The following is a 21,418-nucleotide window of genomic DNA, read 5'->3' on the forward strand; positions in this document are numbered from 1 at the left end:
TTTCGCTATCACATATTCACTATCTGTTAAGCATAACTGTTTTGAGGATTGAATGAATTAATATGATTAGTAAGTAGTCAATAAATACTGGCACTTACTGTTGCTGTGCTTGGTTTTGTCTTTGACACTAACTAGCTTCTTGACATCAGCATCAGTTTTCTCATCAGTAAAAGGAGTAGTTAAATGGTAGTTAAGATTCATAAAATTCTATGTTGAGGAATATTGGATTATACATATTACACTCAGAAAAAATTATTTTGAAGTAAAAGCTGTTGTAGAACTCCTTTGTTTAATAATTGAAAGATAAAGTCCCACTAATTATCCAGCATCTTAAAAGATAAATTAAAAAATCCAGTAAGTTGGTTTCTTTCTTTCTCTTCGGAAACAAGTTTACTGAAGAGCCAGTCTTGTTGCCTAATGAACCAAGAACCCAGACCCTGGATTTCATTACTGTTATGATTCCAGATCCCACTAGAGTCTCTTATCAAATGTGGCCTCATTAAGTGCAACAGGTAATGCAATTCTCCATTAAATTATGCTGAGTTAACTCGTGACTGACATGAGCCAAAATGAAATGTAATTATTTTAAATCGTTCCTATTGGACTGTATTTGCACATCACAGACAGATATTAACACATGCACCACTACTTGTGAATCCTCATTTATCCAGGCTTTATTCTGAGTAAGTATACTGAATGCCAAGTCTTTTTAATGAAGCTTCTGTCAATAATAAAAGCGAAATATAAAACAACTCCTGTGTTATCCTGTTTTGAGTAAGTTGTTTCTAAGATTAATTCAGTAGATTGTTTTCTTCCCCCTCTATGGAAGAGAGAATTACTTATAAACAGACCCAGCCCCCAATATTAATCTCTGCTTTTTGGAATTTTGTAAAGATATTTATAACTTTGAAAAAAGAGAGAGTACACTGCCTTATAATAATTGCTAAGATTTTACACCAGAAATGCTTATAAATGCCATATATGTGTAACTAATTAGCTAATTAACTTACTTAATCTGTTTTTACAGAGGAGGAAATAAATGTACACAGAGATTACACATTTACCCATTTATACATTTTAGCTAGTGGAAGAGCTGGATTCACACCCTGGAAGCCCAGTTTCAGTGCGTGTTTGTAACCACTAAACTACCATTGTTTCTCAAATTCCCTCTAAATTATACTGGTTTCCTTAGGCAGAGAGACACACTAAGCACTGAACAGTGAGGATTGAACCCACAGAATGCAAGTTTGTATCTGGTGATATATATGTCTTATTTTGTTTCTCAGTTAGAAAGAATACAATATATCAAATGCAACCCAATTTTTAAATAGGAGAAACCACCAATAGGTAGTTATAAAACTTGCCTGCGGTGATCTGGAGACTTTAGTGAAAAGCAGGAATAGTACAAGCTTGTGACTCTCACTCTGTCCTTGGCTAAAGCCACTAGAGAATGTGTCTGCCTAGTGACAGCCATCAGTGGCTGTAGGGGATAGAGATGACTTGGACACAATTAGTGATTCCAGAGGGAAGTGACAGAACATGAAACGCCTGGGGGCAAAAGGGGGGTGTTGCTGGGATCCAGCTTATGGTAATAACTTCACCAACAACCTCAACTCAAAACAAAATGGATAATATATTTTAAAGGGCATTCCAAAAGGATCTTACTATTCAACCCTTGGGTTCCACTGTTATAGAGTGAGCCTGCACTTTCATTCCTGAAGTCTTTTTTTCAGAGGCAAAGACACATGGGCAATCCTATAAAGTCTTCCCATGACTTATTGGAAGCATAGTGCTTCTGTTTTTCATTGACTTTTAAAAATAGTATTACTTTATATCAGAAATAATAACTCTTGAATAGACATATTATATGCAAAATAACCCATAATACCAACTCAGAGAGGAAATGGGAATTATTTTAGTCCCACCATTCAGAAACTATCAGTTAACATTTTTCTATATTTACAGCTATAGTTATATCTATAACAACTTTTGAACCACATGCATCTGCAATTTTGGATCTTGTATTTCACTTAAGGTGAATAGTTCTCCAGGTTGTTACATATTTTTAAATTTTAAATTTGAAATACCATTTAATGGGTGGATAATAACCAACTGCACATTGTACCATAATTTATTCTACATGCTCCTGTTGAGCAATTAGATTGTATACAGATGTTTTCAATTTTGAACAACACATATTTTTATACTTGAGTCCTGGAATTTTAAAAATTATTTTTAGGATAGTCTTTCTTAGGATAGGCATTTGTCTTCAAAGAATGTACAGTTTTAAATAAAACTTCTAATATGTATTAGAAAATTGTCTTACTGAAATATCTTAGTTTTTTAAAAATTCTATCAGCTGTGCAAAAGGATGTCTGTCTCATGAGATCCTCAAAAAATTAAAGATTATCATTAAAAATATTTGGTTAATTTAGTAGGTCAACTATTATACCCTATTCAATTTCTATTTTTAAACTATTTGTCATCTGTGTTTCCTCTTTTACAAATGAATTGTCTACTCATATCCTTTGTCTAAGATCTAATACATTAAAGAAGTGTTTGCTACTGTATGTTGTGATCAAAATGATGAATTCTGAGCAAACTTGGTTAAAGCAAAACATGCTAAATTCCAACTTCACAAGGAGTTTAAAAGTTTTCCTTTACTAAATAAAATTCAGCCAGACTTTTAAAAATGAGATATGTGGAAAGATTTAGGTGAAACAAATACCATATTTATAATATCTTATAAAATGGTGATGAATTATATATAACGCAGAATTATCCTTTACGATTTTGGAACAAGGTAAAATACTGTGTTTAAATAAAATAAGAATTATCCTTTACAGTTATCTTTTACAATTTTGAGGAAATTATCCTTTACAATTTTGGAAGAAGGGAAATGCATTCTTTTTTAAACAGAAAAACATTCTTTTAAAATAAGATTTAGGAATATGTTTCATTCCTAAGTCTTATTTACTACTGTAACTGCTCATTGTTTCTGAATTCCTACAGTGCATTATAACGACTTTGAAGAGCAAACAAATGAGCAAGAAAACAGTGTTGTACAAATATTGTCAAATATTTTTTCTCCATGTCCAACCATTTTAGGTTAAACAGTCTAATAGCTTTCTTCACCTTGTTCACCAAGTCAGCTTCCAATTTGTTCAAGTAGATCTATAGCTTTAAAGATGTGCATATTTTTTGAACGTTTTTTCCCTTAAATCCTCTGATGTCTCTTTTTTCTTAAACAAAAGACACAGTTTGCTTAGCTGCAAAATTTGTCTGTACTTTTCAGAAATTAATGTGAATCTTCCCAAGTCTAAGAACAATAATTCTATTTTGGCTTAACTCCAATTGTCTGCAGAAAAAAAACCAAAAAAAAAAAAAAAAAAAAAAAAAAAACCACCAAAACCACACAAACCGTTAAGGAGAGTAATGTAATTTGTAGAAATCTGCAGGAGGCCTTGGTCCTTGGTCCAGGAGTACTACTGCTGACAATTACACAAATAATGTTCCTATGCAATTATCCCAGCAATAACCGATAGCAAGCAAAAATTATAGAGGCCTGATGGGATTTATACTCAGAGGTTTCTATGTAGCACTTTGTTTGAATGAAAATGGCTGTCTTAATTTTTTTTTCTTTTCTTTAAAGAAAATAATCAGTCAGCTTCTTAGGAGAACATAATTTTCTTCCATCTAGGTTTAAATGGCATTAGCACAGCAATCAGATGTCAAGGTGAAAGAAACATGTCTGCCCCGGGTACATAAATGGCAAAAATACCAGGTAATATGGGTACCATTTCCCTGGCTTTTGCATTTTAAATTGCATTAACCTTGTGCTGTGTAGAGTTATGATTTCTTGAACTGTTTTCACTCTAAAATGGGCAATCAGTTCTACAATTTAAAAATGTGCTATGTGCTGTCAAGTTTTTCTCTTGGATGCGAAGGCACAGAAAAATACTCAGTTTGTTTTGGTTTTCATGTTTGCATGATTACTGCACTGTATTTATTTCCACAATTCCTTCAATGTCACCATTCGACTACCCTTAATTAAAATCTGCTTGTATTTGCTCTTTGCCTAGGAGATTACATCTCAGGACATTATGTAATACATTTCAAGCAAATCAGATTGGAAGAAATTATTTTTTCCTTTTTTAAAAGATGCAGGTATTAATGGTCACGTATGAAGTGTATTGAAAAGTAGTAAAGATCTATCGTTTAGGAAGTCAGACAGCCATTTTTACAAAAACTAAATACAACCACAAAATCTAAGAAGGAAGAAAGAGAGCACATATGTACCAAATTCCCTTCCAGTGATCCCTTTTATAAAACTTGACTAGAGGCAAAGAGAGAATGAAAAGCAGTTTTTAGTGAAGCTGTCTTTGGAAATTGTGCAGATTCTCTTTGGCTGAAAAAGAAAAAAAGCAGAGCTGGACAAACAAATTTATTTCTCTATCCTTAATGGATTAAATGGAAAATGAATTCCAGTGGGCAAACCAGTTTTGTCTTCATTGGGGTTTAAAAATTTATATTCCAAAGGAAATTTGGTAGCTTTTAATGAAAGTTCCAATTTTTTTTTCTGAGGAAGGTGGTGGGCATTTTTTTTTTTTTTTGCTTATTATGTGTATTAGAAAACATGAAACAATCTAATAATTTTCTATATTTAAAATGATGGAGCAGAAATTGGCTGGTACATAATCATTAGTAAATAAATGCTTGTTGGATTAAATATTACTTGACATAGTCTTGACTTGAAGCCTAGGCCAGTTTTATGACTGACTGACTAATGAGGAAGATACCCAGGTTTTAGCCTTAATTCAGAATGGGTCTTAAAGGAATGGAGGGACTGTCCAGCAAACTTTCTCAGGGTAATAGTTTAGAATATATGTGGCAGTAAATCTCTAGTTTCATCTATCCACCCAATACTGTCTTTTCCTTACATCTTCCAGCTAACTTATCTCCACAGATTTAATGCATCACCAAGTCCCATCAGGCTAAGATGTTCAAACACCCTTGGTTTGAAAAAATCATCTTGAGCCATGATCAGTGTAGTCATTTGTTCTGTTGGATAAAAATAAAACAAACTACAGGTTTCCCCAAGTTGAGATCTATTACTAATTCCAAATCATCACATAATTCTCTAATGAGTGTTGAGATTTCCTGTGGCATTGGAAAAATTTTTCAATTATATTTATTTCCAAGAACATTTCTTAGGAAAATAATCCTTTGATTTAACTGTGGAATTTAGTATTGAATCTCTAGAAAGCTGAAATGGTTATGTCAGTGGCTGAAGTGTGGTTTTAATCTACTGTGCTGTAAGAGGTACACAAACTGATTACAGGTGGAGTTATGCTTGTTAAGAGCTAAGTAAGATCTTGGTCTCAACAAGATGTGGGACTCAGGGAGCTTATAACATGATGGAAGAAAAAAGCAAAAAAAATAAGACTATGCCAATGTTAGATACTATCATTGCTTAGGTGTTAACCTTCAGGCATTTAGGATGACACCGAAGTTGTCTAAAATACAATAATAGCCAGGGGCAATCCTTCAGTCTAATGAGACAGATGTGATCCAAACCTGGGGATGATGCACTTGTCAGAGGAGGAGCAATACCGACCATATGGTGGGAGATTGACTCACATCCATCAGAATGAGCCGGTCGGTGCTCTTAGGATTTGAAACTGAGAATGTTGTGCTTATGGGGATGTACATGTTTTTGGGTGTATGTGAGTGGGTAAATGAGCTGCAGTCCTCTGTACCCTGAATTGTGGTCCATAAAGACATTTATAATAGGCTCTTAGTACATTAATATGTGTTATCTATGTTCCACATACTTCCACATCCTTTCTTAGGTTCACATTTCAGGAAAAGCAAAAGAGTATTTGGGTAGAAAAGAGGCTCTAGAGATACCTGTCTTAAAACCTGTGTTAAAAAACAGAACATGGCTGATCTATTTCCTGAATTCTTTGGCCTTTTAAGTATAAAGTCCTTCTGTTCTTTAGGAAGGCTCTTTGCTTGAAATAATACAGCCCGTTCACCAGAACAGTTACGTTTGTAACAGTATGTGAAACAAGACTTTAAGGATTTAAAAAATGAAAGAAACAATCAAGACCTTAACTTTTCTAATTCCAGTTTAAATTTTTTCTTGATCCTATTAGAATTTTAGGAGGGATATCAAATTGATGGAAATTGCCATGACGTCTTGAATCACAGGGGTGTTAAATCCCTTTTGGATCAAGACACACATAGATGTCATCTTCTGCCAGAGCTTGATAGTAGGGAAGGGCAGTCCTTGGAAGGCAGTGTGGTTTGGCTTCGTTTCTGAAAAAGTGTAGGTCCTCAATAAAAGGCATTGAATGAAAGGACTGAATGCAACCCAGATATGCTGGTGTCAAGAGCCTGTGGTTCTAATGGTCAGGAGTGAATACAGTTCACTGGTTGGGGAAAACTAACACGCAACTGATAGACTGAAGTCCAGTGGGAGTTATTTTCTGCTCAGCACTCCATTGGAGGCTGCATTTGTGAATCAACTAAGAGCAGCTTTTATTGATATGGTCACTTTGCTTTTAGTTCCCATTTTGAAGTGTGTCTCTTTGATGGATGTGTAAGGAATCTGCTTAGACACCTCTGACAGAAGACACCAGGCAGAAGATACGAGTAGATTTTGAACAATCCTGATTCCACAAAAGAGATGACACAGACTGCTGAGTAAAACACAGCAAGCCAGTTTGTAAAGAGACCAAGCATTACATGACAGAAGCACCTAAGTCACTTTTCAGGTTGCTTGTCTTTGAGGGCTGGAGAGGAGGCTTCTTTCTGAAAGGAGAAAAGAAAAACTTTCCCAAGGCCAAAGCACACCAGGTTGTAAAAGCTTGGAGTAGAGCTTTGCTGACCTCTTGTCCAATCTCCCCAACCTCATTTCTTTGTTCGTCTTGGCAAGGACCCTCTGCTAGAATTTAGGCAGTTTCCTTCACAGATCTTGGCTATAACTTGTTCATTACCAGTTTTGAACCTTTGCGTTTGTTATTTCTCACTTACTGAATGTATTCTCTGCCTGATTCCTGTGTGTCTACTTTATATTTTTTATCTTAAAAAATCTGGCTTACATCTAACTCTTGGGGAAGCATTTCATATCTAAGCTTCTCCTGTCTATGTCCTATGTCCCCACTGGGCTTTCTATCTGTACTTGGAACAAATGGATCTAGTTTAGACAGTATAATTTGCACTGGGGTTAAATATTTGTTAACTATAGATAGTCATTCTCTCTAACTATAATATAGGCTCTTGAGGGGAGGAACATATTTTTACTCATGCAGTTGTATTCGTCCTTCTTCCCTCCATCCAGGATAGGCCAGTGATTGGCAAACAGCAGGCACTTAGCCCATGTTATGGCTATTGATCCAAAAATAAGTATCTTTATAATGGGCCCCAACTCAGAGAAGGTGAGCATCAGGAAAATGGAAAAGAGTGATTACATAGAGTGTGTGTTCTGGGTGTCTACTGCTGCCTAACAAACTATCCCCAAATTTGGTGACTTGACACAACAGTCATCTGCCATTTAGCAGGGTTTGGAAGTAATTGCTCAACTCTGCTGTGTGTGATGTTAGCTGGATTTTCTCTCTACTGAGTCTGGAGCATCTACCTCCAAGATTGCTCACTCACCTGGCTGTCAAGTTGGTTCCGGTTGTCTACTGGGAGTTCAGCTGCAAGTGTTGGCTGGGGGCTTTGATTTCTCTTCATGTGGGCCCCTCCACCAGGTTACTTGTGCTTTCTTACAGAGTGATCAATGAGTTCCGAGAATGCTCCAGCAGGCAGAAAGTAAAAACTAACTGGCCAGTTAAGAACTATGTATGTCTAGAACTGACACAACATTACATCATCAGAAACAAACCCTACCTCTTTTTGGGGGAGTAACATGATAGTATTGCAGAAAACCACACTTGTTTTAAACATAGGTATTTGGAAAATACAGACTGCTATATATTGTGTTACTGATAAAACTACTACACAAAGTCACATTACATAAAGCATGGAAACCCCTTGGTAGTGAACTCTTTTCAAACCAAAGATGATAGTTAACATTTATTTAATGCTTACTCTGTGTCAGGCATGGGCTAAAGGGCTTATACATGATTTCTCATTTGATTCTCACAACTTATGGGTCAGACATTTATTCCTGTCCCCATTCCAGATGAAGAAACAGATACGATGAGGTAATGTACCTTGCTCAAGGTCATAACCATTAAGAGGCAAAGGCAGGATATGAATTGAAGTCGTCTAAATTCATAACACATACGCTTAACTCTCCTGTTTCCTAGTCGATGACTACATAGAATGAGACATTGTAATGTAGCACAGAGATATGAGAAATACCAGTGGTCACTTGTCCAGAGGTTTAGAACCTGTGTTTGGGTCCATACATGTGCTTATGGGACAGTTGAAACCTCTGTGATTGTGTTACAGCATTGTTCATGTGGGTACATCCCGGGCTTTTGTTAGTCTTAAAAGGGCATGCATTGTAAATGCTTAAGTGTTAAAACAACAACAACAACAACAACAACAACAATGTGATTAGACCCCTCTTCCTAAGGCAGGCTCAATCTCAAATATCTCATAACAATGTCAATCAACACCTTCCTTTAAAACATTCAGAAGGAGGCTTCCATGGTATACTGGGGTCATGCTTGCTTTGGGTCCTGTGACAGACTTGGTCAAAACCCTAGCTACTCCTTTGCAATCCTTTTAATCTTGGGTAAATTATTGACCCCTCCACTCAGGGTCTGGTTTCTTGGTTTGTAGACTAGAGCTAATGTCAACCGCCTTTAAGGGTTTTGATGACAGAATAATTTACTGTGTGTAATGTACCCAGCAGTAATGGGGTTTTACCCATTGTTATTTCCTTTAATGGTATTTTGAGTATTGTACAGAACTGGTGCAGTAAAAACATTTCCTTCTCAAGTAGCTGCTACCTTCTAAAGGCAGGACAAACCTCCAGTGAAATTCATCTCTCACATCACTCATATACAGCGACATAAACTGCTCAGCTCACTTTTCAGGATTCAGTAGAATGCTGGACCCATATTTTCCTCCTTGTGCTAAAACATTCTGCAGATTTAGTACCATGTAAAGGCATACAGAAAATCAATCCAGGCAATTGCTTCTTTACTTTCTGATCAGTTCCTCCCAGTTTATCCCCAGCTTTGAATGTACTTCATCTCTTCTATGTAGACCATTATCCTCTCTGCCCGCACAGTCCTATCATAAAAAAAAGGTTCAAAGCACTTCACACACATAAAAAGGCTTGTTATTAAAATTTCTCTTCTGTCCTCCCTAATTTGATATTTTCTGAATAAAATCAGAGAGAGATTTCTATGAAATTTATGTATGAGAAACATTTTGATTTTAAATTCTTACAATTAGGTTTTATATGGGTTTCTTTATTATCTATCAGCTTTCAAGAGTCAAAATTGTATCTGTTTATTTGGTTATTTTTTTCGGTGACACATTTTATCTATTTTATTTTATTTTTTGGCAAACATTAACAAGTCTTTTTGGGAGGTGGGAACTCCTGTGCATAATGGAAGCGAGTTGTAATTCTTCCAGAGTGTTTTTCTCAGGTGCCACTGGACATCCTGTTAGACTTGAAGAGTTAGAGCAGCTGGAGCTTGGGAGAGAATATTAGTAAATGGTTAACAGTAAAATCGGCTTTTAATTTTATCTTTTTAATGTCTAGGAGACATTGGAGCCAATAAAGCTTAGTTACTACATAAAATGATATCTATTAACAATGCTTCCAGTGTGGTCTCTTTCTTTGTTCTTAGAGCCTTTTCTTACAAGTAGGTTTAGTTCTTTAAACCTTTGAATGTGGCTCCATACTGAGCTAGATTCTTATATCTCATAGGCTCAAGTCACCTATGAGCCCAACCTTTTCCTTTTATATGATTGTTACTGATATTTAATAAGTTTCATTTCTCCTTGTTATTTTTAAATTAAGTTTCATCAGCCTACAGCAGATTTCGAGGTATTTTCTAGTTAGAATCGATTGTTTAAACTGCCCACCTTTCTTGCTTGCTTTTCATTTTGTTTCATAGATGACTGCCGTCTTTTGTGTTGATTATCTTGCTATAGTTTGTTTGTTTGTTTTGATCTGTTTTTGGAAGTATAGTGAACTGCAGGAAAAAATTAAAAACAATAGAATATTGATTACATCCTAATATTGGGATCTTTTTATTTTATTTTATTTTGAGACAGAGTCTTGCTCTGTTGCCCAGGCTGGAGTGTGGTGGCATGATCATAGCTTACTATAACCTTCAACTCCTGGGCTAAAGTGACTTCCACCTCAGCCTGCTGAGTAGCTGGGACTATAGGTACCATGCATGGCTGATTTTTAAAAATTTTTTAGAGACAAGGTCCCATTATGTTGCCCAGGCTGGTCTTGAACTTCTGGTCTCAAGTGATTCTCCTACCTCAGCCTTCCAAAGTGTTAAGATTATAGGCATGAGCCGCCACGCCCTGGTGGAATCTAATTTTAGAACATTAATATGAACATACAAAAAAGTCTTAATTTGATTGAAAAAGAAAAGTCCTTTCTTTCTTCTGTCACCTCCCGAGTGTCTTAGAAGATCTGTATTTACAATTTCCCTTAAATTGGTAAGACATGCTTTTGCCTTAGGTGTTTTCATTAAAATTCATAAACACCAGACAAACTCATTATTTGGATGCCCAAATTTAATAAAAATATAAATTCTTTTGGTTCCTATTTTCTCCCTACTTTCTTAAGACACAGTAATTAATTTATGCTGAGAACACTCATTTTTGTCTTAGCTGAGTTCCCTAAAACTTTCAGCGCTAAGTTAACAGGTACATGAGCTTTTTTCCTCAGTTAGATGCCACTAGTCCATTCAGTGTTGATAGAAGGCTGGGGTTGGGTCTGGTGCCTTAGCAGGGCCAAGTGTAGACCTTATAGGTTTAGGTCCGTAAACTTCACCTTATATTTTTCCTTCCAGATAATGCTACATAGACATGGATTTCAGTCATAGAAACTCAAATGTGTCACTTAATACAGAATGAGTCTTCATGATGTCACCAATTTGGAGTGGGCATAGCATACTGGGCCAGTAGTCAACTTGCCTGCCAAATCTGATCCATTTGTAGTGGTTGTTTTTCTGAAATTACAACTAGGCTGACATGAAAGATTGCCAGAATCGATTATTGATATCTACCATGAAGTCGGGAGAGAAGAATGGTAACGGTAGAGCCATGCATTTGCCGTCTTTAGGCATTATTTATGAAGAAAACAAAGAAGGACTCCTTTTCATTTTACTTTGATGCCTCAGTTACAAAACAGAATTCTACTTGAAAGATTAATATAACTCATTGCTGCACATCTTGAATAATCCACTTAATTTCAATATTCGTAGGATAGTCAGGTCATATAAAAAATAATAGCATATGTAAAAGTCTAGTATTATCAAAAAATTATAAGCTGTGAAGTTTGACTTCTCAAACCCAACCTTCTCATACTATAATGCAGATGTGCTTTGCTTTACTCCTTGGCATTAGATATTTCAAAGACTGTTGACATTTGAAAACCAGAGTAGCTGAACATGGATTTTCTAAAGAACACACTCTAATTCTAGAAAAAAGGCAGTGTGATCTTTATTATTTTGTTTGATGTGACAGACTGCAAGGGAGTATACTCTGTGGTCATAGGGATACTCTCATTTCAGAAGCAGCCACTTACTTGAATCCACATTATTACTGTTACGCCCTCCAATGGTAGGTTGTTGGCAAGTATTTATTACCCTTTCTGCAGTGTGTAAGTTAAATTTCTTTTCCAAGGCAATGGGGCCCTAAGGGAAAATCAAGGAAGGGGGAGAGTGAGAGGAGCCTGGGATGAGACGTCTGGTTCTATAACTTCCTTCCAAGCCATTAGTTGATCTCTTGGATCAGCTTTTCTCAACCTTTTGTGTGTAACTTTCCTGGCAGAGTTGTTGAATTATGTGCAGCCACTTTCAGCAAGCTGCTTAGGTCAGGGGGCTTTTCTTTGGCATTTAGCTCCCACATACTTAAACAAAACCTCAATTTGCTAAGGTTTTTAACACTAGAAGCTTGTTCTCCTTATCTGGTTGTATTATTTCTTCCACACATTGTTATTCATAACACATCTGGCTGCAGGTTACAGCATTTTGGCTGAGCTTCACCATGCTAACCTTTGTTACCTCTCCTAGGGTTTAGGAAACAAGCCCCTCTGGATTGAAATATTAATGATCATAAGTACAACAGCAACCCCTCTGCTTTTCAAGTAATGCAATTCTAAGCCGAAGGGCAGCAGCACCAATTATAACTACGGGAATTCTATATACTCTCCCAGTAGGATAGACAGATGCACATACAGGGACTCAGCTGGGCTCTGATACTTGTAACTCAATGCTTCCTTGTGCTTTGGTGTTTCGAAGCTCTGAAAGAGAAAAATGATTCTAGCAAGGAGATTTGGTTGGTGAGGGAGAACCGCTCACAACTGCTGAGCTAGCTGTATAGCAAATTGCCCTTAGGTAGGGTCTCCTTACTTCTTGTAACACTCAGTTTTGGAGATGAGGGAAGCCTATGTGACACACACACACACACACACACACACACACACCTCTCTCTCTCTTTTTCTCTTTCTTTTTCCCTCCCTCCTTCCCTCCTCTGGGCTGTTTTCAGTAATTAGAATAGTGTACCAAAGAATGTAGTAGTACATTTTATTTTCAACTCAACTGCCACCTGAGAGACGCCCTGAGACATTCAGCCCAAGGGTGAAAACAAATGAGCCAAGATTATAAAATGGGTCGAGTCACATGGTATAGGGAGCCTGTTGGCAGAAACAGATTCACAGACTGAATCTTTTGAGGCTGACTTTTCTGCTAGACTAGTCCCTAACTCCAGGCTGACAGTCAAAAGCCTTAGATGATTAGAGGGCATAATGAGGTTTTGTAAAGGTCCATGAGTTCTCAACAGGAAGAAAAGAGAAAAAAAGTGTAGAGCACCAGGCAGGGAAAAATTTAGGTATTTACATAAAAAGAGAGTGGTGCCAAAAGAATAAAACTGCAGAAAGTCGGCAAACAATGGGGAAAATGTTGCTGAGAAACAAAAGAACAAAGCAGTATGTGATTTTTTAAAAAAAGTATTGTATATATTTAACAACATGATGTTTCGATATACATATACATAGTGAAACGGTTACTACGGTCAAACAATATTAAGCATCCAAATGAGAGTTACAGATAATGGCACTCATCATTTATTGAATATCTATACTGTTCCAGGCACCATTTTAAGTGCTTGGCATGCTATTGACTTATGATCCTTGTAATGACCCTGTGAGGAAGGGAATATTTTATTACCATTTTACAGATAGGAAACTGGAGGCACAAAAACCTTAAATTTTAATTTGCTCAAGATCAACCTTACATTTTTAACCATTATACGTCAGCTTCCTCCCAAGAGATTGAAGAGGCTTTTTAAGAAGAGGTTGGAACAGTTGGAAAGGCCAGATGGAAAATATTGATCCTCAAAAAATCTGTAGGATTGAGCTAGGCAGGGGAGCTGATGTCTATTCCAGGCAGATGAATAATATTAACAAAAGTACTTCAGCAAAAGAGATACCTTACAAAAGAGAGCTTTGTAAATGCATGATTTTTAATGGTTGATTCATTTCCTTGAAGCAACTGATTAACTTACTTTCCTTTTCCTCTATAACTCTGAATTCAGCCCTGGTGATAATGAAATGAGTTTTTTTTTTTTGTTCTTTTCTTTTCTTTAAACCGTAACTTTCTTAAATGTGATTTTTACAGATATTCTTTAATGACTAACACATTCCTGTGCTTGAGTGATGTTAAATGGAAACTTTAAAATAAATCTAAAAATAAATACAGTTGATGGATATCCTAATAGATAATATCCTAATGGATATTGTCTTAACATATCCTAATGGATAATGTTTAATATAAATGGGAATGCTCATGGTATAAAAAATATGTCTGGTATAAGCTAGTGTTGTTTAAAAATGTGTATTGGTATGTGCATATATTTCAAAAAGATTGAAAAAACATATCTCTAGTTATCTCTGAGTGGTGAGAATATCAATGACATATACTTTTTCTGAATTTCCTAATTTAAAAAATGACATGTATTATCTCTATAAGCAGAAAAGATGCCATCAAAAGTAAAAATAAATATGGCTCTAACATCATGTTTTAGAAATGGCTCCAGTAGATAATTAAGTTATGAATTCTAACCTATAAGCATATACATACTTAGTTCTACTTTTTATTTGAATTAAATCTTTTGACTTTATATGCAAGATAGAACATTGACTTCCAAATCTGTAACAGAATTAGTCAAACCTCAGGAGGTCAAAATGAAACCAATTCTCTATCACACATTGCAAAGAAAACTGCCAGTTCCTGTTCTAAACTTTGGGTCCTTGAATTCTTTATCTGATTTCTAGTGTACAGCACTACTTAATTAGGAGAAGAAAAACATTGTTGTGTATTTTAAAAAAGAAGAAACTGTGTCTTAAGGCAAAAATCAGCCTAATTTTCTGTAGGTTATATTCAGTCATTGTGTCTGAATTCTTAGAGCTCTTTGAGAATGCCCACTAACTAAGAATTTGGATATATGTGCTCCTAGTTAGAGCCTAGAATGAGCAACAAAATTGGTGTATTCCATTACAGAAATATAAACTTATGAAAGCATAATATGTTGATGTTACCATTTTTATTGATGACATAGGAAAGGAGGATGCAGAAGGGATTGAAACAAGACTCGGAAGCACTTTCTGACTATGAGCAATAAGGTGTGAAAAAATGTGGAGAGCTAGTATGAGAGCTGGTAAAGGGAAAGGATTTTAGGAGAAGTCAAATTTCCTTGGGGTGATTCTGGTTGGGGGAAAAGGTTACCCATTTGGAAATTCCTCCTTCTCTATAGATTGAGACAAATATCCCCAGCAAATGCTTTATCTTTTTACCTGGAGTCCAAGGCAGCCACTGTGCTCTGCTAATAATGCACGCAGAAATTCTTTGGGAATGCCACTTATTGTGGTTAACTGGCTTGCCCAAACCATAAACCCTGGAGGGAGCTTAGTTAAAAATTGATGGGCCATTGAGATTAAAAGAGCAAAACAAACAGCCACAAAACAAATAAATAAGTGATGCTTCTTCAGTTAGCCAATGCCAGAACTCTTCACTGCCAGTTGGAATTTGAATAGGGTAGAATATATGCAAAGAACAGGCAAAATGCCTCTCTCAGTTCCATTGCATAAAACTAAGAAACTTCCCACCTCCAATCCTTCCTCTTGTCCCCAGAGCACAAAAATTATAGATTTAGCCCATGCTTTTTGACTATCTGCTCACTCCTTGGGCAGAAACATCAATCACCTTGCCATCCGCTTACTCTGATGGGGCTGCATAGTTTTTCTTTTTCATTGTCTGTTTGCCATCCTAGCCTCCTATAGCAAAACAGATTCAAGCCAATTGCAAAATTAATTTTAAAAATAAATGTCTTAAACCAGCGTAGCAGTAAATTAATTTCATGCCTAATCTAAATAGTTCTGTTAATAAAAGTAGAATGCGTATGGTACTTGAGAATGACTGTACAGGGGATGATTTTGCTGGCTTTCTCCTCTGGATGTGACATTGCTCATGGCTCTTCCCAACTGCTGCCAGAAGCTGTGTTGATTGTAGGTTGTGGGTGCTTAACAGCCATCTGGAAGGAAAGTTGGCAACACCTAGTTGAAAGCATATCTCAAACTGAGGGATCCTGGCTGCCATCTCGGTTAGTAAACACTGTAGCTTCCCCACTGGATTGAACACTTACTCCAAATTCCTAATGGGAAGAGAAAATCAAGAAGGAGGGAAAAGAATAAGCATCACTTGAATGCTTTACAAACTGGCCATTCATTAAGGCAGGATGCTTTTCTTTTATTCCAGAACTCAATCCAGGTGAAGTGTGGTCCATTTCTTTCTTAATCTCATTAGATAGAGCTAGTCAATTACTGCTCAAGTTTAAAAAGAATATGCACTCTGTGCTTTTTAGAAACCAGAGTTTGTAACAGTCTTTGCTGGAAATAAGCAAAGAAGCAGGAGACATAGGATGATTTTGCTGTATGTTTATTCAACACTACAATGCCAGTTCTGGAATTATTCTATTGAATCTTTTTCTCTTATTTGCTGGACTGTGTCCTCTCAGGAAGTAAACAAGTAGACTTCAAGAGTCCCTTAAATTTTGGATTAGAGGTAGCAGTAGTAATAAAATAGGGAGCTTTTGTTGAGAACTCTTTCCTGCCCAATCACCTGTGGCATATAAGACGGCACCACAAATCAGATGTGGCCCTGTGTATTCTTTCTCATATTTTCTTTCTCGTAGTTTTCAGGGTCATTCTCAGAAACCTGGAGAGTGATGATGGATAGATTCCAGCCCACTGTCACTCTGGGTGGGTCCTTTCAAAACATCAAAATGTGATTTTGCTGTCATTTGAGTGTCAATTTCTTTTCTCTCAAGAGTATTTACCAAGAACATCACTGGAAAGAGTTTGTCTTATACCCATATTTTAAGCACGCAATGCAGGATCTTAGTATTTTTAAAGCCAAATAAAGCAAGGAAGACATAAGTCAATAGAGAAATTGAAACATAGAATCTAGATTTGTTGCTTAAATCTGATTCAAGAGCTTATGCAATCCTTAGAATGGGACTATTTCTATAGAATCACAGTGAGTTTGACATAAATATAAAGGAGAGAGGGTTTAGGTATAACAAACCTTGTTGTGTTCTAAACTAGAACATTTTTATCCAAACTAGATGTTAGTTTACTTTTATACTAGAGAAAAAACATGAAACTATGTAGCAACAAAATATTGAAATATTTTGACTTACGCCACATCTTTTTAAACTTTATAATTTTATTTTTTTGGGTGTTTCACTGGTGTGTTTAGGTGCCCTCACAACATATTTTGTGGAATAAACTTATACTACCTCTTGGCCCATCGTTACTTTTAATGAGAGTTTTGTGAAGCACAACTTTACAGTGGGTTTGGCTTTCTATTTCTATGATTCCTGGTGAATTTTAGGGCCACAAATTCAATAACAAAGTTGTTAAAGTATTCATTTAGTTTAGTATTCTCCCACAAACCTCACTGTAGCCTAACTCTCTTCCTTGAGTTAAGAATGGAGGATCCTTTGTGTGTCTTAAAGTGCTGACAGTTTCCCTTGGAAATTCTGTTGGTTTGGGGCACCCTGGTTACTCCAAAGTAGGTGGGATGATGCCAGATGAGGACTTTACTGTCAAGAGAATCCAGTTGTTATTGCTTCCTTCTTATCCACTTTGCTTACCAAGTAAGCACAGCATTGTGTTTTCTGAGTCTCTCACAGAGGCTCGAGCAAAGGAGCTTCAGTCTCTCTAGTTCTTTGGCACCATCGATTCTGATGACTCAGATACTTGTCCAGATGGAATCATTGGAATCTTCTCTACATAATGACACTGTGGTGCTCTCTTTTGGAGGACCATGAAATTGTTCCAAAATTAAACCTGTTGTTTAGCTTTGGTTGCATGGACAGAGACTATGATGATTAATTTTAAATGTCCACTTGACTGAATTAATGAATACCTAGGAAAGTGGTAAAGCATTATTTTGGGGCTTTCCTATGAGGATGTTTCCAGAGGAGATTGGCATGTGAGTTTGAGTGGACTAAGTAGTGAGGATCTACCTTAAAGTTGGGTAGGTAGCATCTAATGTGTTGGAGCCTTGGATGAATAAAAACAGAAGAAAGGCAAATTGGTCTCTGTCTCTCCTGGAGCTGGGACACTCTTCTCCTGCCCTCAGACACTAGGACCCCAGGTCCTCCATCCTTGCAATTCTTGGACTTACACCAGTGGCCCTCATGAGTTCGAAGGCCTTTGGCTTTGAATTAAGAATTATACTATTGGCTCCTCTGATTTAGAGGTGTTTGGACTTGGACTGAGCCATGCTACCAGTATCACAGAGTCTCCAGCTTACAGGTGGCCTGGGTCTTGGGACTTAGCCTCCCTCATCATCTGAGCCAATTCCCCTAATAACCTCATATTCATTCATATTTTTTTTCTCTCTCTCTCATCTATCTATCTACTGTTAGTTCTGTCCCTCTGGAGAACACTAATACAGAAATCATCATTTACTCAAATTGTTTCAAGAACAAGAAGAAAAAAAGAATACTTAAAGATTCATGTGGCCTAAAATTTTAGTGAAACATTCAGGCTTCTCTCTTGACCGTCTGCTTTATCTCTCACACATACACATCTGTGATGGAAGCTTTGCTTTTCTACGAATCTTCATTATACACTTCCTACTAACTGGTTTGGCTCTGGTCCCTTATACTGTTAGTTTGCTTCAAATCTTATGTTTCCAACTCTAAATATGATTTTATCTCCCCCAAATAACAGTTTAAGTTCTTTTGGGTTTTCTAGAAACCATTTCTTGAGAAGCCCTGTTTCATTTTATTTTAAATAACAGGTCCTTTCAAAGATCACTTGCTAAGTATGAATTATTTGCCTTTGGTTCATGTTTGCGCCTCTGGTCAAATCATTTCTGCAGGGGTCTTATAGTAAATACTGCACCTAAGAACTATGAGCATTACATTTCTTTGTGGAAAAGGCTGTGGGCAGGGCCCACAATGACTAACCACCTGTGTATCTGATATGCAATCCTTAGAATGGGACAATTTCTATAGAATCACAATGAGTCAGACATACACCTTGTTTCATTCTAAACTAGAACATTTTTATCCAGTAACTAAAGTAGATGTTAGTTTGCTTTTAAACTAAAGAAAAAACATGAAACTATAAAGCAACAAAATATTGAAATATTTAGACTTATGCCACATCTTTTCAAACTTTATAATTTTATCTTTTTGAGTATTCAATGCCACCAGACTGAAGCCTGCATATTTCTCTGAGGTGCTCTCTGAGGTTAGTTTCCTGCTAGTGTGGCTATGTGGAGTGTGATGTTCTTATAATCGACCTAAATATAGTTTAGTTAAAGGAGAACATATGGTCTTTCAGTGTTGCTCAAGGCATGATTTCACTGGACTAATTTCAATCAGGTACTTTGTTTTCAGTGCGGCACTTAACAGAATCATAGGCAGTCTGAGCTAGGAGTGGCCTTACATCGTCTACTCCAAATCAAGTCCAACCCCTTTATATTTATAGAAAATAATTTGGCCGAATACAGGTAATCTGTGTGGGTGAAAATAAGCTTGCTGAATTGCAGGGCGAGTCTTTTTTCAACGTCCCATGCTATTTTCGGGATAGATATAACATATAGCTTTAAAATTGATATTCATCCTAAGTCCTTCAAATACAGGTAAATAAAATAGAGCAGATTATGTGACACTAACTGTAAATGTCCTGAGAATGGTAGAAACCTCTGTTGACTATAACTGGTTCTAAACCAAGATGGTGGAATTTTATTTTCTCAAATGTTTTCAGCATTTAAAATTTCCCTTGTATGTCTCTCTTAAGGTCCCAATTTCCTCGAATAAATAGGCAAACAAGAACTAATAATGTATTTTCTTTAGCTACATTCTCCCTCCTGATGCTATGATTTTTAAAAATCTCATGCTTTCTGCAAATATTTTAAATGATAAATTTTTACACAAGGCCCCAAAATAGCAGCTTATGTGCAGATGCATAAAGAGAAGGCTGTATTTTGTATGTAAACTATGTTAATGCAATGAGGAGACCATTTTTTGTTTCTTTTCACAGCATTATGACCTCCTAACTGTGGTTCTGTTATTTTGTATGTGTGCAAATCTCCAAACTTGATGCTTTGATCAAGCAATATGTCATCAAATATCCCTTACATAATGCATAAAAGAAAGTTTTCATTCTTAGCAAAAAAAAAAAAAAAAATTCTCATTTCAACAGAATAAATATTTATTGAATCAGTGCCAAAATGTTCAGTGAAGAACTGAGTACCCTGCTGGTACTTGAGGTCTATGTCAACTACAGTTTGATGGAGGGCTTTTTCTTTGGTCCTTAAATGGGTAGTATTTTCTAAAGCTAGAGACTTTTATCTGCCTCCAAGTCAGTACTGAGTGCAGTGTTTGATATCTTTGCATTTGTAACCTGACCCATTTACTGAGCAATGCAACAGGGATTTGATCATGGATAAGAATTCCAAGTTAACAAATGCAAGGGGATTATGGAATTAGAAAAAAATTATAATTTTAAAAGCCTTTAAAATATTGACCCTTGACAATATAAGTCTATGAATTTAAAACTGTTTTGATGAAATTCGAACACAGAGTAATTAATGCATCAGGTTGCCAATTCTGATGCATCACATCAATCTACTAATTTGGGATTACCAGACATTATGTGCATTCTAATCAATAACTCTGGACATGGAGAGCATCACCTATGAAAGTTTTGCAAAAATAATTGAACCTAAATCTAATTAAGCTTCTACACCTAGCTACCAGTTCTACATAAATGTCATGAGAAAATTAGAAAAGGGGGAGGAGCCATTGTACTTTAAAAGAAACAATATACATAACAACCCATTGAAAGGGATATACGTTGTTAGGATTTAAATTCAAATATGACTATAAAAGAATATTTTTGAGATAATCAAGGAAAAATAGACAAGTATTAGATTTCATTTAGAGGTATTAATTTTGTTAAGTGTGATAATCTTATAACTATTTTAAGATATCTGTTAGCAATACATACTGATAAACTTATGAGTAAAATGATATAATATTTGGGACTTACTTTAAAGCTGTTCAGTAATAAAAGAAAATGTGGGAGGGCAGGAGCAGTCATGAATGGCAAGTTGTAATTAATTTTTGAAGCTGGATGATGGGTCTATGGGAGATTATTACACTCATCTCTATTTTTGTGTGTGTTTCAGAGTTTTCAAAGTAAGAAAATTACAAAACAAGCTAACAGAGGTTTGTCTTCTTCCTAGAGTGGGCAAGATCTTTAGAACCACAACTCAGGTTTGACTTGGTAAGAAAAAATGATATTCTGTAGGTTCCCACACTACTCAACACTGAAGGCTGACAACTTATTTATTAGGAGAGGGATACCTACGGTATTACTTTGGTCTATTACTGGTTGTGTGTCTATGGGCATTCACCTCTGTCAGCCATTAGAGTTATCATTTGTGATGTGAAAATAATAGTACCCATAGTATATGATTGTAATGAGGTTTAAATATGACAATGTATGTAAAATAGTTGGTACAATGCCCAGCATTCATTCACTCCTCAATAAAGTGGAGCTGTTACTGTCTTTACCTCACTTAACAAAGATCAATTGAGTGCCAGTTATGTGCCAGAACCTGTGCAATATCCACAGGATTTTATGACAAAAAAGATACACTTCTCCCCATGAATGGTT

General features: G+C 36.2%; 1 protein-coding gene and 1 long non-coding RNA gene across 2 annotated transcripts in view; one reads left to right on the forward strand and one right to left on the reverse strand.

Annotated features, from left to right (window-relative positions):
* NXPH1 (neurexophilin 1) overlaps positions 1 to 21,418 on the forward strand; it is a 319,353-nt gene that overhangs the window by 115,132 nt on the left and 182,803 nt on the right. The window lies entirely within an intron of this gene.
* The window catches only part of LOC105375144 (uncharacterized), a 67,939-nt gene continuing 62,305 nt past the window's right edge, over positions 15,785 to 21,418 (reverse strand). The window contains exon 4 of the long non-coding RNA XR_001745084.2: positions 15,785 to 15,867. This is a non-coding gene — a long non-coding RNA (uncharacterized LOC105375144). The remainder of the gene's footprint in view (positions 15,868 to 21,418) is intronic.

The sequence above is a fragment of the Homo sapiens genome, chromosome 7 (assembly GCF_000001405.40).
Source record: "Homo sapiens chromosome 7, GRCh38.p14 Primary Assembly".
NCBI lineage: Eukaryota > Metazoa > Chordata > Mammalia > Primates > Hominidae > Homo > Homo sapiens.